Here is a 20,567-nt window from a genome sequence, read left to right as displayed (position 1 = left end):
AGCCCTGCTCATCTAAGTTTTCATACCCTTGAAAGCAAATGTGTCTGACGGGTTTCTTTCATGTTCCCAAAGGTGTCATGGGGGGATTTAGAATAATATCCTATACAAATGTACCTTTCTTTTAATATAAAGAGAGCTCCCAACTGTGCCAAGACTGTGGAGGCAAATACAGCCAGGACTTCTAATCTTTCAAACCTGAAACCAAAACATTAATTAGATCATCACAATTCTTTCAATTCACAAACCAGTCTCTCTAGAACACATTTACATTCATTTATTTGCTCACTTAATATACATATGTGCTGTCTACTATGAGCCCAACACTGTTAGAGCAGATTAGGGTTTCTAGAATAATAATAAACAATGAAAATCACAGATTCCAAGGAGTACCTATTTGTACAATTCCTAGGACTCAGAAGAGAGAGCACCTTCAGCCCATGTCAGAGGCTTTCTCTTTCCAGAAAAACTTTAAAATGATTAAAAAAAAAAAAAAGACAATTACCAGGACCCAATTATAGTCCTTATTTTCTAGAAATAATCACAATCATAATAATAACACTTAATTGACCCACTGTGCGTTAGACACCAGAGTGCTTAACATATTACCTCATCTAAACCTCCCAACCCCTTATTAGAATTACTTTATCCACTTTTTTCTTTTTTTCAAGAGATGGGGGTCTCACTATGTTGCCCAGGCTGGACCCTGAACTCCCAGGCTCAAGTAATCCTCCCAGCTGCTCAGCCTCCCGAGTAGATGGGACTACAGGCATGTGCCACCACACTTGGCTCATTTTTTTTTCCCAAACAGATAAGAAGTTTAGGACACGAAGAAGAAAAGTAACTGTTTAGAGTCATATAGATAGCAAGTAGAAGGTTTTCAAACTCAAACACTCTGACACTAGAATTCAGATTTTAACCACTTATTATACTGCCTCTCATTTCTATACATAATTACAGTGAATTATGAATATATTTTATAATCCCTAGACTATAAGCCAGAGGCCAGGAACTGTTGTTTTAGTTTTTCCTGCAACACATGGTCTAATGGTATTCAATATTTATGGTAAGTATAAATGCTTAAAATTTTTCAAGAAAATAATCACGGAGGCACAGAAAAGACAAAAAAATTAAGACTGTACATCACATTGTTATTTGTAAAGGAAAAATGCTGGAATCAACAATAGAACATTATATATTGTTAAACAAAAAAAGTATTTATTGACATGGAAAAAGGTGAGTGAAAAAAGTAGGTTATGATAGAATACAAATTAAGTGTTGTTTTCCAGCTACTGAAAAAATAAAAAAGAACAGGAAAAAACAGTATGCAAATGCACCAATGTTATTTGTGGAAGGTGAGAAGCTGATATTAAAATGCATATGGAACTGCAAAATGTGAAGGAAGGCAAAGATAACCTTGAAGAAGAACGAAGCTGGAAGATTTATACTACCAGATATCAATAGGTATTTCAAAGCTGCAATAATTGACATAGTGCAGTACTAATCCAAGTACAAATACACCAAATTGTACAGAAAAGAGAATCTAGAAACAGACCTACACATATATAGTCCACTGATTTGTGAAAAATGTGGCACATAAAAGCAGTAAAGAGCCAGGCGCGGTGACTCACACATGCAATCCCAGCACTTTGTGAGGCCGAGGCAGGCACATCACTTGAGGCCAGTTCAAGACCAGCCTGGCTAACATGGCGAAACCCAGTCTCTACTAAAAATACAAAAAATTAGCTGGGCGTGGTGGTGCGGGCCTGTAATCCCAGCTGCCTGGGAGGCTGAGGCACGAGAATTGCTTGAACCTGGGAGATGGAGGTTGAAGTGAGCCGAATTGCGCCACTGCAGTCCAGAATATGCCTTTACTCCTGCTTCACACCATACCAAAAAAATCTATTCCAACTGGATTGTAGGATTAAATATGAAAAATCAAACAGTAAGGCTTCTAGGTGATAACAGAACAAAGTGTCTTTCTGACCTGGGGGTATGCCAAGATTTCTTAACAAGTACACAAAAGGACCAACCCAAAAAAATAAATTTAATTTAAAACTTTTTTTTTTTTTTTTGAGACGGAGTCTCACTCTGTCGCCCAGGCTGGAGAGCAATGACACGATATTGGCTCACTGCAACCTCTGCTTCCTGGGCTCAAGTGATTCTCCTGCCTCAGCCTCCCAAGTAGCTGGGATTACAGGCACCCACCACCATGTGTGGCTAATTTTAGTATTTTTAGTAGAGATGGGGTTTCACCATGTTGGTCAGGCTGGTTTCCAACTCCTGACCTCAAATGATCTGCCCACCTCACCCTCCCAAAGTGCTAGGATTACATGCGTGAGCCACCGCGCCCGGCCTAAAATTTAAAACTTTTATTCATCAGAAGATACCATTAAGAGAAAGAAGGGCAACTAAGAAGGAGAAGATACTTATATATAAAGAACTGTTACAGATTAATACAGAAAAACAGGAAATGGTTAAAAGATTTTTACAAGCATTTTAAAAAAGAGGTGATCTGAATGGTTAATCAACATAGGCAAAGGTGCTCAATTAGTCATAAGGAAAATAACTTAAAACCACAATGAAATACCACTGCATACCATAGAATGGCCTTTATGAAAAAAGACAATAACAGCTGGGCACGGTGGCTCCACACCTGTAATTTCAGCTACTCGGGGTGTGGGAGGATCGCTTGAAACCAGTTCAAACCAGCCTGGGCAATATGGTGAGACCCCTGACTCCAAAAATATTTTAAAAATTAGCCAGGCATGGTGGGATGTGCCTGTAGTCCTAGCAACTCAGGAGGCTGAGGCAGGAGAGCCACTTGAGCCCAGGTGTTGAAGGCTGCAATGAGCTATGATCATGCCACTGTACTCCAACATGGGCTACAGAGTTAGATTCTGCCTCAAAAAAAAAAAAAAAAAAAAAAAAAAAAAAGGCCGGGTGCGGTGGCTCATGCTTATAATCCCAGCACTTTGGGAGGCCAAGGTGGGTGGATTACTTGAGGTCAGGAGTTCAAGACCAGCCTGGCCAACATGGTGGAACCCCATTTCTACTAAAAATAAAAAAATAAAAAAAATTAGGCATGTTGGTGCATGCCTGTAGTCCCAGCTACTCAGGAGGCTGAGGCACAAGAATCGCTTAAATCCGGGAGGTGGAGGTTGCAGTGAGCCAAGGTCGCACCACTGCACTCCAGCCTGGGCGACCAAGCGAGATGCTGCCTCAAAAAAAAGAAAAAAAAAAAAAAAAAAAGACAGTATCAACTGTTGTCAAGGACAGGAAGCAAATGCAACTCTCAAACACTACCAGTGGGAGTATAAATTGGTAAAACTGCTCTGGAAAACGGTTTGGTATTATCTTATCTTTTAATAATGAACATGCAAATCCAAACTAATTCCACTCAAAGATACACATACCCAACATAAATGGGTACACATGTGCACTAAAAGATATATACAAGAATGTTCAGAAGTAGTTTTATTTATAATAGCTAAAAAGTGAAAGTCATCTAAATGTCCTTAACAATTAAGCAATTTGTGACATATTCATATAATGGAATATGAGAGCAATGAACAAGAATGAACAAGATAGTACATACTATATTCCATCTACAGGATTTTCAGAAACAGGCAAAACTAATATGCAATGTTAGAGGTCAGATTACCAGTTACTTCTGGTAGGGTCTGAATGGACACGAAGGGAGGTTTTGGGGGACTTGTAATGTTCTATATCATGATCCAGATAGTAACTATACAAATGTATTCATTTCTTAAAATTCATCAAATTGCACAAAGATATTACAGAAAACAAGACAGGGTCCCTACTTCTATGAAATTTGCTTTTTATTTTTTATTTTTTGAGACGGAGGATGGAGTACAGTGGCACAATCTTGGCTCACTGCAGTCTCCGCCTCCCGGTCTCAAGTGATTCTCCTGCCTCGATCTCATGAGTAGGTGGGACGACAGGCTCGCACCACCACACCTGGCGAATTTTTGTATTTTTAGTAGAGATGAGGTTTCACCATGTTGGTTAGGCTGGTCTCAAACTCCTGACCTCAGGTGATCCTCCCACCTCGGCCTCCCAAAGCGCTGGGATTATAGGCATAAGCCACCACACCCAGCTCTGAAATTTACCTTTTAAAGGGTAGGGACAGAAAAACAAATACCTTGTTTGGTAAGTTCTGTACAGAGAATTATAGTAGTCTGATGTGACAAGAGATTAACCAGATGACTATTTTTGATTGGGCCATTCAGTCACTTAATGGAAATTAGCATTTAGTGATATTAAGATATGAGTAACACGATGAAGCCAGCCTTGCAAAGATCAGGTGAAGAGCATATCAGGCAGATCTTATATAAAGGACCTAAAATGGGAATGAGTTAGTAGCGTTCAAACAACAAAAAGAAAGTCAGTATCCTATAGAGGCCATGAGAAGATTAAGTTGAAGAAAAGTAGGCAGGGTCCTGATCATATAAGGGCTTTGTAAATTAGAAAAAGGAGTTAGGATTTTATTCTAAGTATTACGGGAAACAACTAGATGGTTTTAAGGGGAGAGGGATAATATGATACAGGTTTAAAAAGAAAAACACTGGCTGTAAATGAAAGTAGCTTGGTCTGGGCTGGCAGTAGTGGAGACAGAAATGGGATTGGGGGGTAATTCTGGATGTGTTTGTAGGTTACCTTGACATAATTAATCTGCTAATAGATTAAATGTGGGTGATGAGAGACAGTAATCAACAGAAATTCCCAGAATTTTTTGTTTGAGCAACAGAGTGCTGATGGTATTTACTGAGACGGGGAAAACTACAAAGGAATAGGTTTTTGAGGAAGAAACCAAGAATTTTTTCCTAAGTTTAAGACACCAATTAGACATCCGTGTGAAGCTGTCAAGAAGGTAGTCTGAAATTCTAGATAGTTCTCAGGCCTAGAGAACTGGATTTTGAAGTCTCCAGATATATGTGATACTTCAGCTATGTGATCGATTGCAAATATATTTGAGTGTTTAACTTTATTGCTTAGCTGCTCCTTTCTTTCCTGTTCACTCTAAGCAAGTGAGCCAAAATGGGAGCTGTCATGTCCTTACACGACCTTGTCTTCTATCCACAGTAACTGATCTATAAAGACTGATGCCTGTTCCAAGCTGGCCCAAGCAACAGTTCTTTCTCATGATTTTCTGAACTAGGCAGCATTTATTTTCCAGAAATACTCTAGCTAGCTCTTTATTGCCTACCATAAATATTATTTTAACAGTAGTAATTTATTATTTCCTCTCTCGGATGAAGGTGAGAAGGTGTGAATTAAGGTCTTGATAGGAGCATCATTTCGGATTGGTGGAGAAAAGTGGTCTGAGAGACTGAACAGGACATGCAGAGAAAAGCAGGCCTGGGAGGCAAAAAAATGACAATGTCCTCAGTGGTCTAGTGCCTGCGCCAGTTACTGTCTTCCCACAGTAGTTTGGTTACATAAATTGTAAAAGTCCTCCCATTTTTTCCCCCGAACTCATTTTTCTTTTTCTTTCTTTTTTTTTTTTTTTTTTTGGAGACAGCGTCTAGCTCTGTCTCCCAGGCAGGAGTGCAGTGGCACCATCTCACTCACTGAAACCTCTGCCTCCCAGGTTCAAGCCATTTTCCCAATTCAGTCTCATGAGTAGCTGGGAATGCAGGCACGCCCCACCACACCCAGCATATTTTTGTATTTTTTTGTAGAGACGGGGTCTCGCTCTTTGCTCAGGATGGTCTCAAACTCCTAAACTCAAGTGATCGACCACCTGGGCCTCCCAAAATGCTGGGATTACAGGCATGAGCCACTGCATCTGACTCCCCAAACTAATTTTTTTTTTTTTGAGACAGAGTCTCGCTCTGTCACCCAGGCTGGTGTGCAGTGGCACAATCTCGACTCACTGCAACCTCTGCCTCCCAGGTTCAAGTGATTCTCCTGCCTCAGCCTCCCAAGTAGCTGGGATTACAGGTGCCTGCCACCATGCCCAGCTAATTTTTGTGTGTGTGTTTTTAGTAGAGATGGGGTTTTGCCATGTTGGCCAGCCTGGTCTCAAACTCCTGACCTCAGGTGATCCACCCACCTTGGCCTCCCGAAGTCCCGGGATTATAGGCGTAAGCCACCGCACCAGGCCCCAAACTAAGTTAGATTTCTGTCACTTGCAGTGGCAGATTTCCTTATATGGATATATCTATACCTTACAACTGATTATCATAGTGATAATGCAACTCTCTCAAGTTTCAGTGACACAGGCTGGGCCTGGCACTTTGAGGCCAGGAGCTGGACACCAGGTTGACCAACATGGCGACACTCCATCTCTACTAAAACTATAAAAATTAACTGGGTGTGGTGGTGCACACCTGTAATCCCAGATACCCTGGAGGTTGAGGCATAAGAATTGATCGAATCTGGTAGGTGGAGGTTGCAATGAGCCAAGATCACACCACTTCACTTCAGCCTGGGTGACACAGCAAAACTGTCACACACACACACACAAAAGAAAAAAAGTCTGGGTGTGGTGGATCACACCTGTAATCCCAGCACTTTGGGAGGCAGAGATAGGTGGATCATTTGAGGTCAGGAGTTCAAGACCAGCCTGGCCAACATGGTGAAACCCCATCTCTACTAAAAATACAAAAAAAAAAAAAAACTGAGCCAGGCGTGGTGGCACACACCTGTAATCCCAGGTACTCGGGAGGCTGAGGCAGAAGAATCGCTGGAACCCGGAAGGCAGAGCCTGCAGTGAGCCCAGATCATGCCACTGCACTCCAGCCTGGGTGACAGAGTGAGAATCCGTCTCAAAAAATAAATAAAATTAAAAATAATATTTTTTAAAAATTCATTTTGATTTATGATTGATTTATGAAAATCCTTATTTTGCATTAAAATTTTTGTTTACTTCTTCCCATTGTTTAAGTAAATAAAACCTAATTTTGTTCAAAAGAATATAGTCCCAATGAATGGTATGGTGGAAAAGAAGACTAAGTTTGGTCCAAAAGTTTCTTTACTAAAGTGAAATTCCTTGGTCGATATGCCTCTTCAGGTAAAAAAAAATTAATAAAGTAAAATTCTTTCAAGTTGTTTCCTAGCATCTAAAAGGAACTCATGTTTAAATACATTTTTAAACCTTTAATATAAAAGATTATTTCCTTTCAACTTTCAGTAAATTTTTTTTTTTTTTTGAGACAGGGTCTTACTCTTGCCATCTGTAATGCAGTGATGCAATTATAGCTCACTGCAGCCTCAAACTCCTGGCTTAAGCAATCCTCCCACCTCAGCTTCCCAAGCAGCTGGGACCACAGGTGTACACCACCATGTGCAGCTAATTAAAAACATTTTTTGCAGCGACAGATCTCACTATGTTGCCCAGGCTGGCTTCTAACTCAAGCAATCCTCCTGCCTCAACCTACCAAAGTGCTAGGGTTACAGGCATGAGCCACCACACCTGGCCTCAGTAATTATGGAAACAAATCTCAAATTATTTGTTGATCTATTGCTATCACAAATCCAGTTTCAGATGAAAATCCATCTTTACCACTGCCTATTATTAAACTATATCACATTTATTTAACATCTAGAAGATACACTAACATGAAAATCCTTTGTACTTGCTCTTGCTAAAATAAATCCCCAAAATATTAAAGAACTTAACGTGAACTTTTTAAAATATTTGCTTTATAAAATATAAAAAACTTAATGTGAACATTTTATTTTAATATGATTTATACCTTAAATATTTATGTTTCTTGGAAGATGCTTTTCTATTTTCTTTTGAGAAGGAGTCTTGCTCTGTTGCCCAGGCTGGAGTGCAATGGCATGATCTCGGCTCACTGCAACCTCCGTCTCCTGGGTTCCAGCGATTCTCCTGTCTCAGCCTCTCAAGTAGCTGGAATTACAGGTGCATGCCACCACGCCTGGCTAATTTTTGTATTTTTAGTAGAGATAGGGGTCTGCCATGTTGGCCAGGCTGGTCTCAAACTCCTGACCTAAGGTGCTCTGCCTGCCTCAGCCTCCCAAAGTGCTGGGATTACAGGCGTGAGCCACTGTGCCCAGCCTATCTATTTTCACTATCTGATCATCATTTCACTAAGTACGCAGCATTTATTTTCCAGAAATACTCTAGCTAGCTCTTTATCGTCTACTATAAATAATATTTTAGTAGTCATAAGTTAGCAGAAAATAAAATAATTTGAACTTACCCAAATGAATAGACAGGGCTAGGTTTCCTCAATGTTACCCAGTAACTTATTAAACATGTCATTAAACTAAGTAAAAAGAAAAATAAATTTAGTATTAGAACTAGAAGAGAACATGTGAAGATAAATTAAGTTTTCAGAATTCCTAAGTGGTTGAAAGTTATCTGTGTTTGCACAGACTAAATTAATAATAAATTATTCTAATAATTTATTAAGATAATTAATTCTAGTAGTTTACCATCTAATCACAGTGAGCATCTGAACATGTGGTATACTTGGAAGATTTTAACATGTGAAGGAACAGAATAAAGTTATAATACATCAAGTCAGTAAAGTAGAACCTAAATTCATACTTCCACTACACAATGTTATTCACCCTAAATGGTTTCTGTAACTGAAAATGCTAAAAAATGACACATATGATCAATTTTAACTTTGATACGCTTCATCTTTGTTAAAAGTTAACATAAATATTAATAATACCTTGACAACATTTTGAGTGAGATAAAATTATGTTCATTTTCCAACTATAGTAGATTCACTGTAAAACAAGTTACTACAATATGAAATTGAGGTAACAACTATCTGCGTTAGACCCAGTTAAATATGTTAGTTACCTGATTAATAAAAGGCATGCTTTTTTTTTTTTTTTTTGAGACAGAGTCTCGCTCTGTTGCCCAGGCTGGAGTGCAGTAGTGCCATCTCGGCTCACTGAAACCTCTTCCTTCCAGGTTCAAGTGATTGTCCTGCCTCAGCCTCCCAAGTAGCTGTAATTACAGGCATGCACCACCATGCCCGGCTAATTTTTATATATTTTTTTTTAGTAGAGACGAGGTTTCGTCATGTTGGCCAGGCTGGTCTTGAACTCCTGGTCTCAAGTGATCCACCTGCCTTGGCCACCCCAAAGTGCTGGGATTACAGGCGTGAGCCACCGCGCCTGGCCGAAAAGCCATCCTTATAATATACTCCTATCTCATGGATCTTGAAGACATCAAAGTATTTTGTAATCCTTAAATGGAAATATGAAAGGCTCCATGAAGCAGGGAGACAAGAGTCTGTCTCCCTAGCTCACAATTCCTCAATTCTCAGTTATTAACTATCCTTCATTTTTTTCTCCATCTATATTACAGCAGGAACTGATATATGTTCTTTTTTTAGATGGAGTCTCACTCTATCGCCCAGGCTGGAGTGCAATGGCGCGATCTCGGCTCACTGCAACCTCCGCCTCCCAGGTTCAAGTGATTCTCCTGCCTCAGCCTCCTGAGTAGCTGGGATTACAGGCATGCACCACCATGCCCGGCTAATTTTTGTATTTTTAGTAGAGATGGGCTTTCACCACGTTGGCCAGGCTGGTCAGGAACTCCTGACCTTGTGATCCACCCACCTCGGCCTCCCAAAGGGCTGGGATTACAGGTGTGAGGCACCGTGCCTGGCTGAGAACTGGTATGTTCTTAACATGACCCTACTCCCTGGCCACAGCTGACTCATCCACAGATAGGCACCTGACACATGTAACCTAAGCTGCGTCAAAATGCTGCTCTGGATTTGGAAGTAGGATTTGGAACTGCAACCAAGGCATTCCAGGCTTAATTTGGCTGCTTTCCTGAATGATGGAAATGCACATTTGAAAATTTGGAGTAGTATTTGTATTTCTATCCCTGGATTTGCGAGTAGGGAACGCTGACCTACAGGAAGAAAATAGCTCAACGGTGTCCATGTACAGGGAACAGAGATGAGAGATAAAGAGAAGTTTGATTCTTACAATGGGGCCCAGTTAAACCTCTGCCCTCAGATTCCATTAACACCCCTGAATCTGTAGAATTAAGTATCCTACACCTTTGCTCCCCCAATAGAGCTCCAGTGGAAGTCTGATGGCTGCAATCAAAAGAGCCCTGGCTAACTCCTTGAGAGTACTTCACACTCATCATGACAGGGTTCATATAGTGTGCTAATCTCACTTCCAATTCATGTAAGCAGCAAGAATATGGTATTTACATTGAAGTTCAGCAAATAATCTAGGTTGGTTTTGAATGGATGAATGATTTTTGAAATTGCATCGGATAAAGGCAGCCAAATGAGTTTCTGCAGTCAGAAATATACAATTAGGCTGGGCGTGGTGGCTCATGCCTGTAAACCTAGCACTTTGGGAGGTCAGGGCAGGTGGATCACTTGAGAGCCCAAGAGTACAAGACCAGCCTAGGCAACATGTCGAGACCCCATCACCACAAAAATACACAAAAATTAGCCAGGTGTGGTGGTGAACACCTGTAGTCCCAGCTACCCCAGAGGCTAGGGTAGGAGGATCGCCTAAGCCCAGGAGATTGCAGCTGCAGTGAGCCATGACTATGTCACTGTACTCAGCCTGGGTGACAGAGTAATACCCTGTCTCAAAAAAAAAAAAAAAAAAAGAAAAGAAAAACGAAATATACAATTGAAGCTTCAATCATTAATTTATTATTTATGGTTTTTTTTTTGAGACGGAGTCTCACTCTGTCGCCCAGGTTGGAGTGCAGTGGCACAATCCTGGCTCACTGCAACCTCCACCTCCCAGGCTCAAGCGATTCTCCCACCTCAGCTTTCCAAGCAGCTGGGATTACAAAAGTGCGCCACCATGCCCACCTCATTTTTTGGTATTTTAGTAGAGATGGGTTTTTACCATGTTGCCCAGGGTGGTTTCGAACTCCTGAGCTCAGGGAATCTGCCAGCCTCGGACTCCCAAAGTGCTGGGATTACAGGCGTGAGCCACCTCGCCCGGCCAAAGCTTCAATTATTAATTGTAAAATTTTTCTTTGTAAATAATACTCTATAGATAAGATTTGTTAATAATAAGAAATCTGAAAAATTCAGTGTCTAAATATTAACTTTTGAAAATTTTACCCTTAAAAATGGATAAAAATCTCTGAAAATTTTTCTATAATTCATCAATTTTAAGAAGTACATGTTTTTTCACATCTTAATAATCCTCAAATCAGGGTTAGTCTTACAACTTACAGTACATCACAGTTGAATTAGCAGCATTTTTCTTGGGGACACATAAAATAAGTATTTGTCTTAAAACTGTTGGCATCTAATATTTGATGAAATATGGTACACTGATCGAATTTACTTCCCATTACTACATAAATCTAAAAAATCAGTACCCATTTATTAACAAATCATTCAATATGTTTGATTTTATTTATATGTGTAAATCATTTTAATTTCCATAGTTTAGTAACACCACTTTGGTATTAATGTTCTCCAATAAAATATATTTCTACACCTCTTTGTAAAACAGTAGCATTTATTAACACTTAAAATTCTAAAATCAGATAACCACTTTCTTCTGTGTTTGGATATTAGTGAAGCTCTAAATGAATCTAAATCACACCTTTCATCTGAAACGTTATGTAGCGATAGCTAACTCATATGGCAGATTGTGAGCCTCTAAAGAAAGAAACTTCCTCAAATTAAATGAAAAGATTTTCCTTATGAACCTTAAGACATAAGGGAAACATTATTACTTTAGTTTTAAAATTTGACTATTTTTATTACCGTTAGTTTGTTATCAAATATGGTTGGTAACATTAGTAACTATTCCCCAAAGTAACTTTTTAAAGTACATGCATGGGCTGAGCGCGGTGGTTCACGCCTGTAATCCCAGCACTTTGGCAGGCTGAGGCGGGAGGTCCACCTGAGGTCAGGAGTTCAAGACCAGCCTGGCCAACATGGTGAAACCCCATCTCCACTAAAAATACAAAAATTAGCCGGGCATGGTGGTGGGTGCCTGTAATCCCAGCTACTCGGGCGGCTAAGACAGGAGAATCGCTTGAGACCGGGAGGTGGAGGCTGCATGCAGTGAGCCAAGATCGTGCCACTGTACTCTAGCTTGGGTGACAGGATGAGGCCCTGTCTCAAAAATAAATAAATAAAATCCTTTTTTTTTTTTTTTGAGACAGGGTATCAGTGTGTCACCAAGACCCAAGACTGGATTACAGTGGTGCAATCATAGCTCACTGCAGCCTTGACCTTTTGGGCTCAAGTGATCCTACTGCCTACTATTCAGTGAGTAGCTGGGATTACAGGTGTGTACCACCAAACTTGGCTAATTTTTAAAATTTTTTGTAGAGAAGAGGTTTCACTGTATTGCCCAGGCTGGTCTTGAACTCCTGGGCTCAAGCAGTCCTTTCACCTTGGCTTCTCAAAGTGCTGGGATTACAGGCATGAGCCACTGTGCCTGGTCTATAGGGTATCTCTCTGTCACTGAGGCTGGAGTACAGTGCTAAGATCATAGCTCTCTGCAGCCTCAAACTCCTGGGCTCAAATGTCCTCCTGCCTCAGCCTCCCAAAGCACTAGGATTACAGGCATGAGACACCACTCTTGGCGGTAACATATTTAAACTGCTTTTTATTTATTTTTAAATTGGCGTTTTATTTATATAAATAAAATTCAAAATTTACAACAGATATATAGTGGGAAGATTTTAAACTTGTCTCCCTGCCAGAGTCTTCCTCTTCAAAGACACCTATTATTATCAGTTTGTTTATCTTTCCTATGTATATTTACGCAAATACAAGCAAATGAATGAGTGTAGTGTGTGGATGTGTATACATGTACGTATTCTTATTCTTTCCCCCTTTTTAATACAAATTGCAGCATACTATATACACTGTTGTGTATCTTGCTTTTTCCCCTCATTAGGACCTCAAAACCATAAAATGCTTTGATTTTATTGTCTAAGGCTACATAATATTTAATTACACAGATAAGTGGGTTCCCTATACCCAGCAGGATCGGTTTCATCTGTTGCTAGAAATGCAAATTCTTGGGTCCTACCCTAGGCCTCCTGAATCAGTAACTCTGGAAATGAAGCAATATGTATTTTAACAAGACCTTCCAAGTAATTCTGCTGTATGGTCAAGTTTGAGAATTCTATGATATATACATACCAAAATATGGGGTATACATGCCCCATTATTTCATCATTCATATACTGATTGTTTCCAATCTTTTGTACTGAATAATCTCATATGCAACTCATTTTTAACCACAGGAATATATCTGCAGCATAAATTACTAGAAAAGGAACTGCTACGTTTAAGGTTATGGGCATTTATAAATTTAATTGATATTGCCAAATTGCCCTCGAGATGCTGCACCAATTTATATTCCCACCAGCAATGTATAAAAGTGCCTGTTTCCAGCCAGGACAGGTAGTTCATGCTTGTAATCCCAACGCTTTGGGAGGGAAAGGCAGGAGGATCACTTGAGCCCAGAAATTTGTGACTTGCCTGGGCAACATAAGAAGACCTCATTTCTACAAAATATCAAAAAATTAGGCAGGTGTGGTGGCACAAGCCTGTGGTACCACTCACTCAGGAGGCTGAGCTGGATCATTTGAGCTCAGGCGGTAAAGGCTGAGGCTGCAGTGAGCCGAGGTCAACCCACTGCACTCCAGCCTGAGAAAAAAGAATGCCTGTTTAGCCAAAACAATCTTGAAAAAGAACAAAGCTGGAATATCCACACTTTCCAATTTCAAAACTTACTACAGAGCTGCAGTAATCAAGACTGATGGTACTGGCATAAAGGACAGACATACAGATCAATGGGACAGACCTGAGAATCCAAAAATAAACATTCACAGTTACAGTGAACTGGTGTTTGTTGTTGTTGTTTTGTTTTTTGAGATGGAGTCTCACTCTGTTGTCCAGGCTGGAGTGCAATGGTGCGATTCCGGCTCACTTACTGCAATCTCTGTCCCACCAGGTTCAAGCGATTCTCCTGCCTCAGCCTCCTGAGTAGCTGGGACTACAGGTGTATGGCACCATGCCCGGCTCATTTTTGTATTTTAGTAGAGATGGAGTTTTGTCATATTAGTCAGGCTGGTCTCAAACTCTTGACCTCAGGTGGTCCACCTGCCTTGGCCTCCCAAAGTGCTGGGATTACAGGCATCAGCCACCACACTTGGCCCGTGAACTGGTTTTTGACAAGGGTACCAAGGCAATTCAATGGGGAAAGTAGTCTTTTCAACAAATGATGATAGGACAACTGGTTATCCACATGCAAAAGAATGAATCTGAACCCCCAATCTCACACCATTAAAAAAAAATAACTTGGCCGGGTGCGGTGGCTCACGTCTGTAATCCCAGCACTTTGGGAAGCCGAGGCGGGCGGATCACAAGGTCAGGAGATTGAGACCATCCTGGCTAACACGGTGAAACCCTGTCTCTACTAAAAATACCAAAAATTAGCCAAGCGTGGTGGCGGGTGCCTGTAGTCCCAGCTACTCAGGAGGCTGAGGCAGGAGAATGGCATGAACCTGGGAGGCGGAGATTGCAGTGAGCCAAGATCGCGCCACTGCACTCCAGCCTGGGCGACAGAGCGAGACTCCATCTCAAAAAAAAAAAAAAAAAAAAATTAACTCAAAATGGATCAAAGGGCACAGTGGCTCACGCCCATAATCTTAGCACTTTGGGAGGCGGAGGCAGGCAGATGACTTGAGTTTGGGAGTTCGAGACCAGCCTGTTCAATATGGGAAAACCCTGTCTCTACTAAAAATACAAAAACTAATTGGGCATGGTGGCTCATGCCTGTAATCCCAGCACTTTGGGAGGCTGAGGCTGCAGTGAGCCAAGATCATGCCAATGCATTCCACCCGGGGTGACAGAGTGAGACTCCATCTAAAAAAAACAAAAACAACAACAAAAAAAATCAAAGACCTAATTGTAAGAGCAAAAACTATAAAACTCTTAGAAGAAAACATACCTATTGCTCAGGCACGGTAGCTCACGCCTGTTATCCCAGCACTTTGGTAGGCCGAGGTGGGTGGACCACTTGAGGTCAGGAGTTTGAGACCAGCCCAGCCAAAATGGTGAAACCCCGTCTCTAATAAAAATACAAAAAATTAGCCGTGCCTGGTGGTACATGCCTGTAATCCCAGCTACTTGGGAGGCTGAGGCAAAAGAATCACTTGAGCCAAGATCACGCCACTGCACTCCAGCCTAGGTGACAGAGTAAGACCCTAACTCAAAAAAAAAAGAAAGAGTAACTATTGATATATGCTACAACAAAACAGAAAAGCATTGTGCTAAGAAGACAGTCATAAAGGACTGTATATTGTATGATTCCACTTATATGACATGTCCAGAGTAGGTAAATCTATCGCGAGAAAAAACTGATCAGTGGTTGCCTAGGGCTGGAGAAGAGAATGGAATGAGTGGGAGAACGGAATGACTGGAGAGTAATAGCTAAGGCGAGTGGTCTCTTTTTGAGACAAGGAAAATATTGTAGGTCAGGCGTGGTGGCTCACACCTGTAATCCCAACACTTTGGGAGGCCAAGGTGGGCAGATCACTTGAGGTCAGGAGTTCGAGACCAGCCTGGCCAACATGGCGACACCCCGTCTCCACTAAAAGTACAAAAATTTGCCAGGCGTGGTGGTGCATGTCTGTATTCCCAGCTACTTGGGAGGCTGAGGCAAGAGAATAGCTTGAAACTGGGAGGCGAAGGTTGCAGTGAGCTGAGATCATGCCACTGCTCTCCAGCCTGGGTGACAGAGTAAGATTCCGTCTCAAAGAAAAAAAAAAGAAAGAAAATATTGTAAAGTTAATTATGGTGATGAATGCACAACTCTATGTATGAAGAGACTAAAAGTCATTTTAAGGCATATGAATTATAGTATCTCAATAAAGCCTTTTTTTTTTTTGAGATGGAATCTCACTCTGTCGCCCAGGCTGGAGTGCAGTGCTGCGATCTCAGCTCACTGCAACCTCTGCCTCCCAGGTTCAAGCAATTGTCCTGCCTCAGCCTCCCGAGTAGCTGGGACTACAGATGCCCACCACCATGCCTGGCTAATTTTTGTTATTTTTAGTAGAGACGGGGTTTCACCATATTGGCCAGGCTGGTCTCGAACTCCTGACTTTGTGATCCACCCTCCTCAGCTTCCCAAAGTGCTGGGATTACAGGCGTGAGCCACTAAGCCTGGCCAAATAAAGCCATTTTTAAAAAAACAAAAGAGCACGTTTCCCTAATACACTCAGCGACACAGGTATACTCAAATTTCTTAAGCTTTCCCAACGTGACAGGCAAAACAGCATCTCAGAGTAATTTTAATTTGCATTTCTCTTACTGTTAGTGAAGATAAGCAACTTTTCATAAGTGTCATTTATATTTCCTTTTCTGTAAACTCTCTGTATGAATTATAATTTTTTTCTTCCTTTTCTTTTTCTTGGTCTTTGTCTTAAATTGTAGGGCCCTTCAAATGTTAGCAAAATTAGCCCTCTGAGGTATGAATTACAAATATCTTCTCAGGTTATTCTCTGTTTATGGTGACATTTGCTACCTAGAGTTTTTAACTTTAATATAATCAAATTTATAAATATTTTGTTTTTTGAGACTGAGTTTCGCTCGTTGCCCAGGCTGGAGTGTGGTGGCACAATCTCGGCTCACTGCAACCTCCGCCTCCTGGGTCCAAGCAAGTCTTATGCCTCACCCTCCCAAGTAGCTGGGACTACAGGCATACACCACCATGCCTGGCTATTTGTATTTTTAGTAGAGACGGGGTTTCACCATGTTGGCCAGGCTGGTCGTAAACTCCTGACCTCAAGTGATCCACCCGCCTCGGCCTCCCAAAGTGCTGGAATTGCAGGCATGAGCCGCCCCACCTGCTCTCTAATTACTGTTATGTCTCTAATTATTGTTGTTTGTGTGTTTGTTCTATGTTGATAATTTTACTTATTTAGTAGATTACTTTCCTTTAAGCAAAGAAAACTTCTTCATAATCTACTTTTTCTCTCCATAGATTTGCCTGTTTTGGACATTTCATATAAATGAAATCATAAAATATGTGGTCCTTTATGACTGTCTTCAAAGCATAATGTTTTTATTGTTTTCTTGTAAGATATCAGTAGTTGCTGTTTTTATTGCTGAATTGTATGGCTATACCACATTTCTACCAAGTTCCTTATTAGCTCCAAAACATTAAGATTTCCTAAAAACTTACCTAAAAAGATCAAAAATGGTCAGGTAAGTATAGGCAGTTAAAGCTGCAAAACAACAAAAAAATGATTAAAAGTATTACTGACCCCTCTAAAAAAATACAGCAAGTTACCAAAATTATTTCTACCAGGGGTATCCATTATCAAAAAAACTTTTGAGTCACGGGCCAACCTCATATATTGGCAGTTATCTAGTAAATCTGATAAATATATGTAGCCAAAGTTCGTTGGTAGAAAAGCTTACTTCCCAACCTGATTTCTCCATTAGGAAAAATGAAGCAATGAATGTTCAAAAGCCCTGTTACCATTTTTCTGCCTGCTTCTGTAATCTCAGCGCTATTTCAAATGTATTGTTTGAATAACTGAACAAAAGAACAATGCAATAAAAAACATAAAAAGATATAAGAAAAAAATTACAGAATTCCCTTTTTAAGGAAAAGCCAACAAACCTCAAAATCTAACTTACAAACTGCATAAATTAAAGTTTTAATCTATTATATTAAAAACAAATCTCCAGCCAGGCACGGTGGCTCACGCCTGTAATCCCAGCACTTTGGGAGGCTGAGGCGGGTGGATCATAAGGTCAGGAGATCGAGACCATCCTGGCCAACATGGTGAAACCCCATCTCTACCAAAACTACACAAATTAGCCAGGCGTGGTGGTACGTGCCTGTAATCCCAGCTACTTGGGAGGCTGAGGCAGGAGAATCGCTTGAACCAGGGAGGTGGAGGATGCAGTGGGCCAAGATCACACCACTGCACTACAGCCTGGCAACAGAGTGAGACTCCGTCTCAAAAAAAAAAAAAAAAAAAAAAAATCTCCAGATAGATTTAATGATTTTTCAAAAAATAACAGCTTATTTAAAATGAAAATGGCCAGGCATTGTGGCTTACGCCTGTAATCCCAGCACTCTGGGAGGCCAAGGTGGGTAGATCGTTTGAGCTCAGGATTTTGAGACCAGCCTGGGCAACATGGCGAAACCCCATTTCTGTTTTAAAATATATTTTAAAAGGAAAAAAACTTAAAAAAAAATTACAATCCTAACAAATGAACAAAAGTTTACAGTTTACAGGGAAGTTTTAAATATAGTCCCTTATTTAAATCATTTGAGTTATATACATTTCAGAATAATATATTCTATGTAAGATATACCTTTATTTCCAATGAGAAAAATAAAAGTAAAAATAACAACTCCATAAAAATACAAAGGTGACATACCTATACTATTAGTAGAACTGCACCACATAAGCAGGAAGCCAGTACATATCAAGTTTATTACACCAAAGAGCAGTATCTTCCAGGACTGTGAAAATAAAAATCACTCTTATGTGTACAGAAGTGATAAATTTCACGGGGTCTGTTCAAGTTGCTACAATTTATACTCTGATATTCAAAGGAATAAACATAACTTCCTTCAAAAAGTCTGTGTCACACTTTCTACATCTACCAAAATTGTCATCGGCTAAGTTATTACAGTATACAAGTTTAAAAGAATAGTTCCAGAAGGAGAGTTGTTCAAGAGAAAATAAATTCTGACATAGAAATTCTCAAATAGTTGAGAAAAATACACATACATATGCATATCGTTTTGTCTCTATAAGTACATATTATAGAGACAACGATGAAGCAAATGGGGCCAAATGTAAGCAACTGGTGAATCTGAATAAAGGGCATGATGATGTTCCTAAAAGTTAGTAATCTTGTCCAGGTGCAATGGCTCACTCCTGCAATCCCAGCACTTTGGGAGGCCAAGGTGGGTGGAGGTCAGGAGTTCAAGATCAGCCTAGCCAACATGGTGAAACCCCGTCTCTACTAAAACAAAAAATCAACCAGGTGTGGTGGCAGGCACCTCTATTTCCAGCTACTTGGGAGGCTGAGGCAGGAGAATCGCTTGAACCAGGGAAGCAGAGGTTGCAGTAAGATGAGATTGTGCCACTGCACTCCAGCCTGGGCGACAGAGCGAGACTCTGTCTCAAAAAAAAAAAAAAAAGTACTGACTTTGGCTGTTCAACATCAACCAAGTAAGGTGAGAAATAAGGAAAAATCTTCATTTTGGCAACACAGAGATTTTTGGTTACCTTGTAAAAGCTGTTTATGTGAATTAGTGGGCACAAGTACCTAACTGGTATGTGTTTAATAAAGATGAGGAGAAGAGAAGGTGAACACAATGTACTGATAATTCTTTCAAGTAGGTTTGCTACAAAAGGAAGCTGAGAAATGAAGCAGCCCTGAGAGTGGAACTTATAACATGTAATTACGATGCAAGAAAGAGGAGAATGATGCATGATGCAAGAAAAACAATGATGTAAGAAACAGAACAATTATAGGGACATCATCTTTCAGTAGGCAACAAGTGAAAGGATTGCCTTTATAGAGAAGAACTGAAAGCTTGTCCAGAGAAATAGGAGGGAAGGCGGAGTGATGGCTGATGTGCTAATGATAGGATGTAGAAGTTTTCTTCTGATTACTTCTTTTCCCTTGGTGAAACAGGAAGCAAGATCATCAGGTTAGGGTGAGGATGAAGAAGGTATTAGAAGCTTGAGGATAGAAACGAAAGAACATCGTATGAAACAGCCATCTAGGAAATTGGAAAATTGAATGAACAAAGGAAATATAAAATGAAAGAGCACTAATAGGCAGCACTTAATAGGCAGCACTAATGGTCTGTCTGATCATGAATTCAAAGTGAGACCAGTCGCATGGTTTTGTTTCTCTCAGGTTACATTCAGTTGCTTAGATGCAAGTAGAGTAGAAAGAAAGTGAACTTAATGAAGGTTAGGGATTTTCCAGGAATTAAGACAGAGGGAAGGGGAGCACAAAAGAGTTGAGAACATATAAAAGAAAATGATACTAGCTGGGAGTGGTGGTGTACCCCTGTAATCCCAGCTACTCAAGAGGCTGAGGAAGGAGGATCCCTTGAGCCCAGGAGTTCAAGACCAGCCTGGATAATTTAGCAAGATTCCATCTCAAAAAAAAAAGAACAAAAAGGAGGGAAATGATAATGATGGAGCATAGAATCTAAGTTGGATAAGGAAGCAAATGAGGATAACGGAGTTGAAAAATAGTGAAAATATGGCAGAGTTTCAATTGGAGTGCCCATTGGTACTGCTTATTATTGTTTCATTGAAGCTGGCTTTACTTAAAAGTCATCAAATATTTACTGAATGTTTATATTGTACTTCTATAAAAAGGTGAGCAAAATAGAGACAGTCACTTCCCTCAGAGAGTTTATCATTTAGACAACAATGAGAAGCATGAAACACAGTAACTAGAAGGTTTACATTGGTGGCCTAAAAGGATGGCAATTACATCTTTTTATTTACAGTCTCAAAACATATTTTTCTTGCCCTACATTAAAAATGAGAAAACATGGGCCAGGCACGGTGGTTCACGCCTGTAATC

General features: G+C 40.3%; 1 protein-coding gene across 18 annotated transcripts in view, besides 2 other annotated features; it reads right to left on the bottom strand.

Moving 5' to 3' along the window:
• The window catches only part of SLC30A6 (solute carrier family 30 member 6), a 58,516-nt gene that overhangs the window by 31,849 nt on the left and 6,100 nt on the right, over positions 1–20,567 (bottom strand). For 7 of the 18 annotated variants that reach the window (NM_001330479.2, XM_047444946.1, NM_017964.5 and 4 more), the window contains 4 exons: positions 18,384–18,468; positions 17,170–17,212; positions 8,193–8,258; positions 115–195 (listed from right to left, as the gene is read on the bottom strand). In NM_001330479.2, the coding sequence (NP_001317408.1) occupies positions 115–195; positions 8,193–8,258; positions 17,170–17,212; positions 18,384–18,411 (218 nt within the window). In that variant the 5' untranslated portion in view covers positions 18,412–18,468. Of the gene's footprint in view, positions 1–114; positions 196–8,192; positions 8,259–14,934; positions 15,055–17,169; positions 17,213–18,383; positions 18,469–20,567 lie in introns of those variants that run through there. The other 11 variants (XM_047444944.1, XM_011532963.4, NM_001193513.3 and 8 more) reach the window with 5 other exon arrangements.
• Positions 2,469–2,518: an enhancer, noted in NCBI's record as "active region_15558". NCBI's record gives its function as "activates an Ori minimal core promoter by ATAC-STARR-seq in GM12878 lymphoblastoid cells {active_cell/tissue: GM12878}" and the evidence as "EXISTENCE:reporter gene assay evidence [ECO:0000049][PMID:35858748]".
• Positions 3,244–3,444: a silencer, noted in NCBI's record as "peak3647 fragment used in MPRA reporter construct". NCBI's record gives its function as "represses an SCP1 promoter by STARR-seq MPRAs in K562 erythroleukemia cells {active_cell/tissue: K562}" and the evidence as "EXISTENCE:reporter gene assay evidence [ECO:0000049][PMID:32103011]".

Source organism: Homo sapiens, chromosome 2, assembly GCF_000001405.40.
Source record: "Homo sapiens chromosome 2, GRCh38.p14 Primary Assembly".
In the NCBI taxonomy this organism is placed as follows: Eukaryota; Metazoa; Chordata; class Mammalia; order Primates; family Hominidae; genus Homo; species Homo sapiens.
The sequence above is the reverse complement of the archived record's forward strand: the minus strand, read 5'-3'. Positions and strand labels throughout refer to the sequence as shown.